General features: G+C 48.8%; 1 protein-coding gene across 1 annotated transcript in view, besides 5 other annotated features; it reads left to right on the forward strand.

Moving 5' to 3' along the window:
- Positions 1,005–1,524: a silencer, noted in NCBI's record as "silent region_221". NCBI's record gives its function as "represses an Ori minimal core promoter by ATAC-STARR-seq in GM12878 lymphoblastoid cells {active_cell/tissue: GM12878}" and the evidence as "EXISTENCE:reporter gene assay evidence [ECO:0000049][PMID:35858748]".
- Positions 1,014–1,308: an enhancer, noted in NCBI's record as "tiled region #9854; K562 Activating DNase unmatched - State 1:Tss". NCBI's record gives its function as "activates a minimal TATA promoter and a strong SV40 promoter by Sharpr-MPRA in K562 cells {active_cell/tissue: K562}" and the evidence as "EXISTENCE:reporter gene assay evidence [ECO:0000049][PMID:27701403]".
- Positions 1,249–13,303, forward strand: part of SLC25A33 (solute carrier family 25 member 33) — a 45,709-nt gene continuing 33,654 nt past the window's right edge. Inside the window, exon 1 of the mRNA NM_032315.3 lies at positions 1,249–1,531. Coding sequence (NP_115691.1) covers positions 1,476–1,531 — 56 coding nt within the window. The 5' untranslated portion in view covers positions 1,249–1,475. The remainder of the gene's footprint in view (positions 1,532–13,303) is intronic.
- Positions 1,545–1,904: a silencer, noted in NCBI's record as "silent region_222". NCBI's record gives its function as "represses an Ori minimal core promoter by ATAC-STARR-seq in GM12878 lymphoblastoid cells {active_cell/tissue: GM12878}" and the evidence as "EXISTENCE:reporter gene assay evidence [ECO:0000049][PMID:35858748]".
- Positions 1,975–2,104: an enhancer, noted in NCBI's record as "active region_129". NCBI's record gives its function as "activates an Ori minimal core promoter by ATAC-STARR-seq in GM12878 lymphoblastoid cells {active_cell/tissue: GM12878}" and the evidence as "EXISTENCE:reporter gene assay evidence [ECO:0000049][PMID:35858748]".
- Positions 3,130–3,629: an enhancer, noted in NCBI's record as "H3K4me1 hESC enhancer chr1:9601405-9601904 (GRCh37/hg19 assembly coordinates)". NCBI's record gives its function as "activates a minimal SCP1, AML or CMV promoter by ChIP-STARR-seq in naive H9 embryonic stem cells {active_cell/tissue: H9 hESC(naive)}" and the evidence as "EXISTENCE:reporter gene assay evidence [ECO:0000049][PMID:30033119]".

Below are 13,303 nucleotides of genomic sequence, written 5' to 3' on the forward strand. Positions count from 1 at the left end.
AAGCTTCTGGCACTGGTGCCTGTGCAGTCAGTGGTGTCACTGCCAGGACAGGAAATAGAGGTAGAGCAGGTTTGGGGGAGGGGAAGAATGATAAGTTCAATTTGGGACCTTTATTCATTAGCTCCTTGGGCATTACTAGGTGGCAGGTACTGTGTCAGGAACAACTGTGAACAAAAGAAATAAGGTCCCTGCTCTCCTGAAGCTTACATTCCTGTATGGGAAGGACAACTTAAATAAATCAACAAACTAACTGCAGAAGCCCTGGTTCTATAGTCGTGTGACAGACTGCGCTGCAAAGGCGGCCAGGAAAGTCTCCATCTGGGGGAGACCTGGAGATTAGAAGATGTCAGGTTGAGTATGACAATGACCCAGTGACATAGGCTGAGAGAAGCAGTTTGGATATCTAGGTCTGGGCTGGAGATGATCAGAAAAGAAGCAAAAAGCATACTGCAAAATATACGCAGCATATACTACTACTTATAGGGAGATCAAAAATCCACATAATGATAATGATTATTAATTATTTGAGACAGAGTCTCGCTTTGTCGTCCAGGCTGGAGTGCAGTGGCAAGATCTTGGCTCACTGCAGCCCCCGCCTCCCGGGCTCAAGCGATTATCCAGCCTCAGCCACCCAAGTAGCTGGGATGACAGGGGTGCGCCGCCTCGTCCGGCTAACTTTTGTATTTCTAGTAGAGACACGGTTTCGCCGTCTTGGACAGGTTGGTCTGTAACTCCTGGCTTCAGGCGATCCGCCCGCCCGCCTCGGCCTCCCAAAGTGTTGAGATTGCAGGCGTGAGCCACCGTGAGGGCCTCACTGATTATCTAAGGCTGTTTAGATTATAGATTTTTAGATTATGTTTTTGTTTCCCTAAACGGGGTGGTGAGTACAGAGGTGTGAGATGTAACACGTAATTTGTACACCTTTTGCACACGTAAATATCACAAAGTAAACTTTTAAAATAAGGCAAGGCCTAGGGCCTCGCGAGGCTTCTCTGAGGAGCGAGGACCAGTCAGTCACAGCCAGTTTCCACTGCCTCCACGCTCCGGCCTAGGCCAGCCCCTCTCCCCAGTCATTCGCTCGGGGCTGGCTCCGCCCCAGAACTGCGCAACCTCCCCGCCCACATCCGCGTCCTAACCAATGAGCGCTCGAAATTTGGGTCCACACCCCCGTCACGCCCCGCCCCAGACTCGCGCGCCCGTGACGTCACGGTCCGGCCCCCGCCACGTGACGGCCGCGCGCCGGGCTCTAGCTCCCCGCCGGGCTCGCGCCGCAGAGGCCGGTGAGGCGCCGGCGGCCACGCCGCGGAAGGCGCGGGCCGAGCAGAGCCGGGCGTTGGAGCCCGCGCGCGCATGGAGGCGTTGCCGGCAGCCCCCTGAGGGCAGCGGGGAGACAAGACCCGGCGACCTCGCGCATCCCTCGAGCCGCCACGCGCTCTCGCCACCGGGCGGCGACGGGCCGCGGAGCCGGCGCGGCCATGGCGACGGGCGGCCAGCAGAAGGAGAACACGCTGCTTCACCTCTTCGCCGGCGGGTGAGTTCCCGGGCCCAGCCGCGCGCGCCCCACCGCCTGCGGTCCCCTCGGCCTTCGCCCCGGGCGCGGCCCCAGCCTCCCGCGGCGGTTACCGGCCTTCCCCGGGCTACGGCGCCGGCGCTCGGGAGGAGGAAGTCCCGGCGTCGGGGACTGGTGGGCAGGGCCGAGGGAGGGGGTCGGGCCTTCCTCACCCCTACGTCCTGACCGCAGCCCCGAGGGCGGCTGTGCCCCGCCGCCCGTCCTCCCCGCGGCGTCCCCAGCTTTTCCCCATTCTGAAGAGTCAGTGGCCGGTGAGTGGTGCTCGGCGGCGGTCCAGCCTGGACGCTGTGGCGCGGCCCCCCCTCCCCCGCCCCCTTCTCCTGGGGCCTCTCCCGAAGCGCAGCGCCTCAGAGCCCGTGGTAGGATCGCTGATGCTCGGGTGTGCCCGAGGTTCCTCAGGGCAGCGCGGGAGGTCATCCGGACGGGCAAAAAGGTCTGCGGACGTTGGACGTCAGCAAGGCCTGGGTGGTGCTGGTGAACGGTGATGCTTGCGGCCACACGCGGGGTGGCTAAGCCAGGGACCCGAACTCATATGAGGTCTGGAAGGTGTGTTGAGACACTTCTCGCCGGCTGGTAGACGCTTCCAACGCCAGAGACCGCAGAATTGTAAGGTGTTCCTTGTTTTGAAAGCTGCATTAGGTCTATGGTCAGGCACCTTTTTTCCAGCGGAGACAATGCATTTTTAGGAGGTTGAGTTCTGCGGTTAGGAAGGGAGATGGTACCCCTCGCCACCTCCCCTTGTCACCTCCCGCCGAGAATAGAAGGTAAAATATTTTTGAGTATTAGTAATTTTCTTTTTTCCTTTATCACAGCCGGTGGCTTGGGGTCCTTTCGGAGTCTTACAGATATTTGGAGTATTAATTTGAGGACCTCATCGGCCTGGCACAGGAATTTTTGAGTGTAGGATATTTTGCATAAAATAGTTTATTCTGGGATGATCATCTTGGCTTGAGTAGTTGCAGCCTGGATTCCTACCTGGATATGTTCCTTACAACAAACAATGGTTGAGAAACTTATCTTGGAAGATGACTGATGAAAGCGTCCCTGAGCTTTTTTTGTACTTGTATTGTGGGCAGTCACCAGGTTACTTTAACCAAAAACTTCGGTGGGTCTTCATAGATTGGAAGAGTTTCTCATTCATCTCTTCCCTGTCATTCATTCCCTTGCAACCCTTCCCTCCATGTCTCCATTGAGACTTCCTTTTTTTTTTTGAGAGGGAGTCTTCCTCTGTCGCCCAGGCTGGAGTGCAGTGGTGCGATCTTTGGGCTCACTGCAACTTCCGCCTCCCGGATTCAGGCGATTCTCCTGCCTCAGCCTCCCGAGTAGCTGGGATTACAGGCCCCGCCACCAAGCCTGGCTAATTTTTTTTTTCTTTTTTTTTTTTTGAGACGGAGTTTCGCTCTGTAGCCCAGGCTGGAGTGCACTGGCGCCATCTCAGCTCACTGCAAGCTCCGCCTCCCGGGTTCACGCCATTCTCCTGTCTCAGCCTCCCGAGTAGCTGGGACTACAGGCACCCGCCACTACGCCCAGCTTTTTGTATTTTTAGTAGAGACGGGGTTTCACCGTGTTAGCCAGGATGGTCTCGATCTCCTGACCTCGTGATCCGCCCGCCTCGGCCTCCCAAAGTGCTGGGATTACAAGTGTGAGCCACTGCGCCCGGCCACGCCCAGCTAATTTTTTTGTGTTTTTGCTAAGAGGCGGAGTTTTGCCATGTTGGCCAGGCTGGCACTCCTGACCTCAAGTGATGGCCCACCTTGGCCTCCCAAATTGCTGGGATTACAGGCGTGAGCCACCATGCCCGGCAGAGACTTCCTTTCAGAGTAACACAAGGGGGAAGCATTCTTAAATTAAGCCACTCTATATAAATTTGTCTTTCTTGGGAATTTTAAACAACTTGGCCATTTTTTTTTTTGTCTCACACGTTTTTTAAGCCAAGAAGGATCATTTAAAAAAAAAAAAAAAAGGAATTTCTGCTCAGTGATTTTGACTTACTGTTTTTAGTGAGGTGGGTTTTTGCTTTTTGTTTTTTTTCAGACGGAGTCTTGCTCTGTCTCCCAGGCTGGAGTGCAGTGGCGCCATCTCGGCTCACTGCAAGCTCCGCCTCCTGGGTTCACGCCATTCTCCCGCCTCAGCCTCCCGAATAGCTGGGACTACAGGTGCCCGCCACCACGCCCGGCTAATTTTGTATATTTTTAGTAGAGACGGGGTTTAACCGTGTTAGCCAGGATGGTCTCGATCTCCTGACCCCCTCTGCCCACCTCGGCCTCCCAAAGTGCTGGGATTGCAGGCATGAGCCACTGCGCCCGGCCAGTGAGGTGGTCTTTTACAATTTTTCTTTGTATTCCAAACCAGGAGAGTTGCATGCTGGAGCAGCCTCTGTTGAGGCTCACTGTGAGATGGATGGCCCTGTCTTGTTGAATCTCCCTCTGTACCCTTCCCTGTGCCCTCTGGCTGCCAGATTCTCCTCCTAGGGCACCAGCCTTATACCTTGTGATGGAGTACATCTGCAGTGGCCAGCACAGCTCTCCTGCTTGATTAAGATGTAGGTAGTTCATTAGGGTGGCGCCTGAAGCCATTGTATTTAACAAGTTTCCGTTCCTGTCTTGGCAGCAATTGGAGACTCAAGAAAGAAAAGACAGCTTCCAAAAGTATGTTTTCAGAGTAACTAATTGGATTTTGATCCACTCTCACTAGCCTAAAATATTTTACTTTCTGTTAGGGAAGAACATGAAAGGAGCTGAGTGTAAAATGGCTGTATTGTATGGTTAAAATGAGGCCACCCAGAGGTCCCACCTAGTCCGGTGGAATATGTGCTGCCTTGCTCCAAGTAACTAGTTGCTGCTGTTGTTAAGCTGGCGTCTTTCCAGAAAACGAAGTGCACTTCCTTTGAAAAGAAGTCAGAGTCCCCACTAAAAATCTGTCACATTTCTCTTGTTTATTGCATAGCCATTGGAAACTATAACATCAAACAAGTTTAATACTGTTGCTAATTAATGATACTGTGATACTGAACAAGCATTTCTTTATTTTTATTTTTATTTTTTGAGACGGAGCCTCACTCTGTCGCCCAGGCTGGAGTGCAGTGGTGCAATCTCTGCTCACTGCAACCTCCGCCTCCCGGGTTGAAGCAATTTGATTCGCGTGCCTCAGCCTCCCCGGTAGCTGGGATTACAGGCATGTGCCACCATGCCCGGCTAATTTTTGTATTTTTAGTAGAGATGGGGTTTTGCCACGTTGGCTAGGCTGGTCTCGAACTCCTGACCTCAAGTGATCCACCTGCCTTGGCCTCCCAAAGTGCTAGGATTATACAGGTGTGAGCCACCACGCCCTGCGTGAAAAAGTATTTTTATTTATTTATTTATTTATTTATTTTTGATACGGAGTTTCAGTCTTGTTGCCCAGGCTGGAGTGCAGTGGTGCGATCTCAGCTCACTGCAACCTCTACCTCCTGGGTTCAAGTGATTCTCTTGCCTCAGCCTCCTGAGTAGCTGGGATTAAAGGCTCACGCCACCACGCCCGGCTAATTTTTGTATTTTTAGTGGAGACGGGGTTTCACCATGTTGGACAGGCTGGTCTCGAACTCCTGCCCTCAGGTGATCCGCCCACCTCAGCCTCCCAAAGTGTTGGGATTACAGGTGTGAGCCACTGGGCCCAGTCCTGTCATTCCTTTTCTATTGTTTAAACCACCTCATCAAGAAGAACACAGAAGTGCTTTGAGGTGGCCCTTCTGTATGTAGGCTTGATTTGCCAAAGATGAAAATCCTATAAATTTGCCCCATCAAATAGCATGGGGGTTCTGGTTGTCTGTTAGTGCTAGTGATGTCCTTCATCTGCTGGGCAGCCACTTAACAGCACAGTGCCCATTTAGATCTACTCAGTACCTGAAATAGCTGGGCTAAGCTGTCCTTAGATTTAGAGGTTGATCCTGGATTGGATGCTTTGGCTCTTATTTTTATGGCATGCTTTTTTGTTTTGCCATCCTAGCCTTTAAAATGTATTTTAATGGGAATATAGTATATCTTTAAGATTTTAAACTAGGCCAGGTGTGGTGGCTCACGCCTGTAATGCCAGCACTGTGGGAGGCCGAGGCGGGTGGATCACCTGAGGTCAGGAGTTCGAGACCAGCCTGGCCAACATGGCAAAACCCATCTCTACTGAAAATACAAAAATTAGCTGGGCATGGTGGTGCATGCCTGTAATCCCAGCTACGTGGGAGGCTGAGGTAGGAAAATCACTTGAACCTGGGAGGTGGAGGTTGCAGTGAGCTGAGATTGCTCCACTGCACTCCAGCCTGGGAGACAGAGAGAGAGAGACTCCATCTCAGAAGAAAAACAAAAAACAAAAAATGAAAAACTTAAACTATAATAAGACACAGATATTTTCAAAATTCAATGTTTTCCCACCTAGTATGGGCAGCTGTTGCCAGGTATACTCAGGTACTTGTCCTGCAAATTAAATCTTTATCAGCTAATGGTTAGTTTTTTTTTTTTTTCTTTTTTTGAAGCAGCATCTCTCTGTGTAGCCCAGGCTGGAGTGCAGTGGTGACATCTCGGCTCGCTGCAACCTCCACCTCCCGGGTTCAAGCAATTCTCGTGCCTCAGCCTCCCGAGGAGCTGTAATTACAGGCACGTGCCACCATGCCCGGCTGTTTTTTGTATTTTTAGTAGAGACCAGGTTTCACCATGTTGGCCAGACTGGTCTCGAACTACTGACCTCAGGTGATCTGCCCATCTCAGCCTCCAAAAGTGCTGGGATTACAGGCGTGAGCCACCGAGCCCAGGCAATGCCAGGTTTCAAGTAAAACTTTCCAAGAATTTACAGTGTATACAGAAAAGCACCTAATGTTTTTTAAATAGCACGATAGAGGTAGCAGGTGAAATGGCGGTTACCAAACCTCCAAAGATTAGGATTGCAGGATGTCTGGCAGTATCATTTGTTGGCAAAATGTGGATAAGCTGTGAGCCTGGAAAGCAGTTTACCATCAGTGGGGTAGTGATTATTATCAGAAAGAGCATACAGGCCTTGGTTTTAGTGCCCGATATGCATGTATGCATAGGGAGCAGAGGCTGTTGTTGAAGACAGTTGGTTTTTACAAATTTTCCTTGATAGTTTAAACTCAGAGTTAAAAAGCACAATTCTGTGTGCATAATTTAAAATTTTATGACTTCTGATCACATAAAGTTACTTTTTTTAAAATCCCAGTATATATTATAGTAGTAACGTTGTAGTTTTACTCTGCTGTCAACTGGAGGTGAGGTGCCTAAGCCACAAGGGGAAAAATTAAACTAGGGAGGCATGGGTGTAAAAGGATTAGAAGGTTAACTGTATCTTCATGTAATAAATACAAAACTTCAGTTTTGGAAAGGAATAATGAGAGAAGGTAGAGGAATGGGGAGGGGAGTTTTTTTGTTTTTGGTGGTTTTTTTTGTTTTGTTTGTTTGTTTTTGAGACGGAGTTTTGCTCTTGTTACCCAGGCTGGAGTGCAGTGGTGTGATCTCAGCTCTCTGCAACTTCTGCCTCCCGGCTTCAAGTGATTCTAGGGGAGCGTATTTTTATCTTTTAAGAAAAGGAATACATAGGCTGGGTGTGGTGGCTCATACCTGTGATCCCAGCACTTAATTTTTATTTTGAGACGGAGTCTCACTCTGTCGCCCAGGCTGGAGTGCAGTGGCGAGATCTTGGCTCACTGCAACCTCCGCCCTCCGAGTTCAAGCGATTCTCCTGCCTCAGCCTCCTGAGTAGCTGGGATTGCAGGCGCCTGCCACCACGCCTGGCTAATTTTTTTTTTGTATTTTTAGTAGAGATGGGGTTTCACCATCTTGGCCAGGCTGGTCTTGAACTCCTGATCTCGTGATCCACCCGCCTGGGACTCCCAAAGTGCTGGGATTACAGGCGTGAGCCACCGCGCCCAGCCAATCCCAGCACTTTAAAAGGAGGCCGAGGCAGGTGGATCACTTGAGGTCAGGAGTTCAAGACCAGCCTGGCAACATGGTGAAATCCCATCTCTACTAAAAATACAAAAAAAATTTAGCTGGGCATGGTGGCGCAGGCCTGTAATTTCAGCTACTTGGGAGGCTGAGGCATGAGAATCACTTGAACCCGGGAGGCGGAGCTTGCAGTGAGCCGAGATCGCGCCACTGCACTCCAGCCTGGGCAACAGAGCGAGACTCCGTCTAAAAAAACAGAAAAGGAATACATAGTTGAAAACAGAAAAGGTGCAGAAAAAATTCAATTAGTAGTTTCTTTTTAGAAAATTAGGCAAATAGACTTCAAAGAATATCCCTCGTGACTGCTTTTAGACATGTAGTTTAACAATTGTTCCTAGCTTTCCTCCACTGGATTCAAATCCTTCAGATGTTTGCTGTGAAGGGAATATCACACAGAGAAATTTTTTTTTTTTTTTTTTTTTTTTTTTTGAAACGGAGTCTCGCTCTGTCGCCCAGGCTGGAGTGCAGTGGTGCGATCTCGGCTCACTGCAAACTCCATCTCCCGGGTTCACGCCATTCTCCTGCTTCAGCCTCCTGAGTAGCTGGGACTATAGGCACCCGCCACCACACCTGGCTAATTTTTTGTATTTTTAGTAGAGACGGGGTTTCACCGTGTTAGCCAGGATGGTCTCGATCTCCTGACCTCGTGATCCGCCCTCCTCAGCCTCCCAAAGTGCTGGGATTACAGGCGTGAGCCACCGCACCCGGCCCCACAGAGAATTTTCTCTGCACTTTGGCATCAGTGACTGACTAGAACAGTATTACCTTAGGAGCAAAATTAAATTAACGTCCAGGGTATTTCCTCAGAACTGTTAAGACAAGCATGAGTCCCAGCTGGCCTTTGGAAGATTATTTATGTTAGTAAAACTCTTTAATTGCTTTCTTGAAAAGTTTAGGTATACATTTTTTTTGACTAGGCTCATTTAGGGGGTGTTCAGTTGCAAGTAATAGAAGATTCAACTTCAAACCGGCTTGCTTATGGGTACAAAAACCTGAACTCTAGAGGGAGCACAGGCTTCAGGTGAGGGCTTAGCTGAGCAGTGCATCAGTGTCACCAGGAGGGGCCCACCCACGCCTGCTTGGCCTCCAGTAACCTGCTTCATTCTAAGGCTGGCCCTGCATAGCCACAGAAGGGCTTCCAGCAGCAGCTCCTGGTATTTCTCCCACCATTAAGCAAGTCTTCAGTGTAATTCTGGATCCACTAGGACACGTACCCCTTGCTCTAAACCAGTCATTGCTCCCAGGGAAATTATGCTGAGTACTTGGGCTGAAATCATATGTCCATCCCTAAACAAGGCAAAGTAGATGTTATGATGTGGACATGCTTCAGTGAGTCAGGCCAAAACTAGACATGAGTTCAATCCTGTCCTCTGTGTGACTTAAGAAATTAGGGATCTTCGCCAGGCGCAGTGGCTCATGCCTGTAATCCCAGCACTTTGGGAGGCCAAGGTGGGCAGATCACCTGAGGTCAGGAGTTCAAGACCAGCCTGGCCAACATGGTGAAACCCCATCTCTACTAAAAATACAAAAATTAGCCAAGCATTGTGGCACACATCTGTAATCACAGCTACCCCGGAGGCTGAGGCAGGAGAATTGCTTGAACCCAGGAGGCGGAGGTTGCAGTGAGCTGAGATTGCGCCAGCCTGGGCAACAAGAGCAAAACTCTGTCTCAAAAGAGAAAAAAAAAAAAAGGAAATTAGGGATCTTGTTAAGACAGAGGAAGAGAGGGATGGATGCTGGGGAGGCAACCAGCAGTGCCACCAGTCCATTTTACGGTCTTCAAATAGTGCCCATTTTATTGGTCTAGAATAGGGTTTCTCAACTTTGGTTGGATGATTATTTGTCTGTGAGGGATGGGCTGTCTTGTGCATTGTAGGATATTTAGCAGCATCCCAGGCCTCTACCCACTAGATATGAGTAACCCCCCTCCCCCATTTCAAAACCCAAAATGTCTTGAGATTTTATTACTGGGGTGGGGACAAAATTGCCCCAATTGAGAACTACTGGTTTAGAATAGTGGCCTTCAAACTTTTTTTTTTTTTTAAGTTTTTGTGGGTTTCTTGTTTGTTTTGTTTTGATTTTGTTTTTGTTTTTGTTTTTGTTTTTCCCTTCCTGTCACCCACGCTGGAGTGCAGGGGTATGATCACTGCTCACTGCAGCCTTGACCTGCCAGGCTCAAGCGATCCTCCCACCTCAGCCTCCGGGGTAGCTGGGTGGCTGAGACTAGAGTAGCTGGGACTACAGGTGCGCACCACCACGCCTGGCTAATTTCTGTAGTTTTTGTAGAGATGGGTTTTCACCATGTTGCCCAAGCTGGTCTCAGAACTCCTGAGCTCAAGCAATCTGCCTGCCTTGGCCTCCCAAAGTGCTGGGATTACAGGTTTGAGTCTGTGCCCAGCCATGGCCTTCAAACTTTAATCATACACTGCTATGATTAACATGTTTGTGCATATCTTATGTATAATTATATTACCCTGTTACTTTTATACAGACTATAAGACCTATACACAAAATAGAAATTAAATGGGCTGGGCGCGGTGGCTCACGCCTATAATCCCAGCACTTTGGGAGGCCCAGGCGGGCGCATCTCCTGAGGTCAGAAGTTCAAGACCAGCCTGGCCAACATGGTGAAACCCTGTCTCTACTAAAAATACAAAAATTATCTAGGTAGGGTGGCACACGCCTGTAATCCCAGGAACTCATGAGGGTGAGGCATGAGAATCACTTGAACCTGGGAGGCAGAGGTTGCAGTGAGCCGAGATCACGCTGCTGCACTCCAGCCTGGGTGACAGAGTGAGACTCTGTCTCAACAACAAAAAGCAAACAAACAAAATAGAAATTAAATGGTGGAGGTTATAAATAGAATGTTATTTCTTTCTGTATGCCAGTAGGTCATGGTGCACATCTCTTAGAGTATGTATCCCAGTTTGGAGATTCCTTGTCTAAAATACTGCTTGCCAGTCAGATTAGTCCATTTTCCAACTATGTGAGGCTAACGCTGTGTCAGCATGTAACTGGCGGTTGAATATGACTTTTCCTACTGTCTGAGCACTGGCTACTGGAGCCCTCAGATGAACCAAGAGGATCCTAGTCTAAGACTTAGGTGGAAGAACCTGCCCTGCTGCCATTGACCAGACTGTCTATGAGAGAAGAACGGGTTGTGGGTGTCAACATTGGGGTGTGTGGGCAGAGAGGATTTTACTATTATTGTCCCCAACTCTGTCCCCGGCCCCTAGTAGGTCTGGGCTACAGATTGAGAGAGCTTGTAAGGCAGGGAGACTGGTAGCTTGCTCTGCGGCCAGATGCCTCCTACAAGTGAGAGGCTGGTGCATTGGCCCAAGCCAGCAGGATGAGAAGGGACTGGGTGGTATGCTTGGGAAGGACACTCAGTGACTCCCACTTTGAGCCAATCTTGTTAACTCCTAGCGGTCCCATTGGCTTGATGTCAAGGAGCATGGGGACCAGAGGAAGGAAAGGCACCTAGTTCTGCCTGCAAGCTCCCCAGGGCAAGCAAGGCAGAAAAGAGATGTGGGGATGAACTGCTGGTGGGATCAATGGGGGGGATGAACTGTTGGTGGGATCAATGGGGGGGATGAACTGATGGTGGGATCAATGGGGGAGATGAACTGATGGTGGGATCAATGGGGGGGGATGAACTGATGGTGGGATCAATGCGGGGGATGAACTGCTGATGGGATCAATGGCGGGGAGGAACTGATGGTGGGATCAACGGGGGGGATGAACTGATGGTGGGATCAATGGGAGTTCCCAGTGTTGGGGCTCATAGTAGGTTGAATGCCATCTACAATGAAAAAACATTCACCAAGGCCTCCAGTACATCACAAACCTTTTTTTTTTTTTTTTTGATACAGAGTCTTGCTCTGTCGCTCAGGCTGGAGTGCAGTTATGCGAGATCGGCTCACTGTAACCTCCGCCTCCCAGATTCAAGGGATTCTCCTGCCTCAGCCTCCTGAGTACCTGGGATTACAGGCACCCGCCACCACACCCAGCTAATTTTTGTATTTTTAGTGGAGACAGGGTTTCAGCACGTTGGTCAGGCTGGTCTCTAGAACTCCTTACCTCAAGTAATCTGCCCACCTCAGCCTCCCAGAGTGCTGGGATTACAGGTGTGAGCCGCCACGCCCAACATATATATATATATATTTCTATATATGTATCTTTATATATATATTTCTATATATGTATATATATTTTTTCTATACATATATATATATATATTTTTTTTTTTTTTTTTTTTTTTTTTTGAGACGGGGTCTCACCCAGGCTGAAGTACAGTAGTGTCATCTCACCTCACTGCAGCCTTGACCTCCTTGGGTTCAGGTGATCCTCCTAAGTAGCTGGGACTACAGGTGTACACCACCATGCCTGACTAATTTGTTTTTGTTTTTGTAGAGACAGGACTCCAGCCTGGGTAACAGAGGAAGACCTTCTCTCTTTAAAAAAAAAAAAAAAAGTGAGTGTGGCCTGCCACCTTGAAAGAGGTCACTGATTCGCTGTTACTAGGGCATTTGCTTTTTTGGACGAACACACCATCCTTTGATCAGTGGCATAGACTTGGATGACAGTTGGCCAAAGTAATGAGTGCAGTTTACTTAGGGACAAAGCAAAGGTGGTTGACCTGTATGGTATTTGAACTTACTGGCTTTCTGATGAAAGGATTTACCCAGAAGCTCTTTTTCAATGATTTGGAGTTACGTTATCGAACACAAATAGATTTCAGATATTTCTTTATTTTACTACGTAGCTGGTAAGTTTCTCAGTATCTTTAAATGTTATACTTTTTAGGCATGTGGTTATTATGACAGGTAGGAGTATTTTGTATGAATAGACATGGGTTAGAAAGTTTTTACGTCTATCATTTTTATTTTTATTAATTAATTAATTAATTAATTATTGAGACTGAGTCTTGGCTTTGTCACCCAGGCTGGAGGGCAGTGGTGTGATCTCAGCCCACTGCAACCTCTGCCTCCTGGTCTTAAGCCATCCTCCCACGTCAGCCTCTCGAGTATCGGGACTACAGGCGCACATCACCACACCCAGCTAATTTTTTAATGTGTATTCTTGGTAGAGACAGGGTTTTGACCTGTTGGCCAGGCTGGTCTCCAACTCCTGAGCTCAAGTGGTCCACCCATCTCGGCCTCCTAAAGTGCTAGGATTACAGGCATGAGCTGTCACACCTGGCCACTTCTATCTTTTTAAAAATATTCCTTATTATAGCCTATTTTCTTTAGATATATTCTAGTGCTTGGAGCAAATTACACAAACCAGTATTAAGCTAGGCCCACAACTTGATTAAAAATAAAAATAGGCCAGGTGCGTGGCTCACGCCTGTAATCCCAGCACTTTGGGAGGCCAAGGCAGGTGGATCACTTGAGGTCAGGAGTTGAAGACCAGCCTGGCCAACATAGTGAAAGCCCATCTCTACTAAAAATACAAAAAAATACAGCTGGGACCTGTAGTCCCAACTACTCAGGAGGCTGAGGCATGACAATTGCTTGAATCCAGGAGGCAGAGGTTGCAGTGAACTGAAATCGCACCACTGCACTCCCAGCCTGGGTGACAGAGTGAAACTGTCCCCCAAAAATCAATAGGTAAATAAATAAAATAAAATAATCCCTCATGGGGATTTTACTTCATTCGTTACTTTCAGAGTGTGCGTTAGGTACTAGGTTTGCTTCTAGATTTCCAACATTTGCCTCTAGTGGAGTAGGGAAGCTGCATAAAC

This window comes from Homo sapiens, chromosome 1, assembly GCF_000001405.40.
Source record: "Homo sapiens chromosome 1, GRCh38.p14 Primary Assembly".
Lineage (NCBI taxonomy): Eukaryota > Metazoa > Chordata > Mammalia > Primates > Hominidae > Homo > Homo sapiens.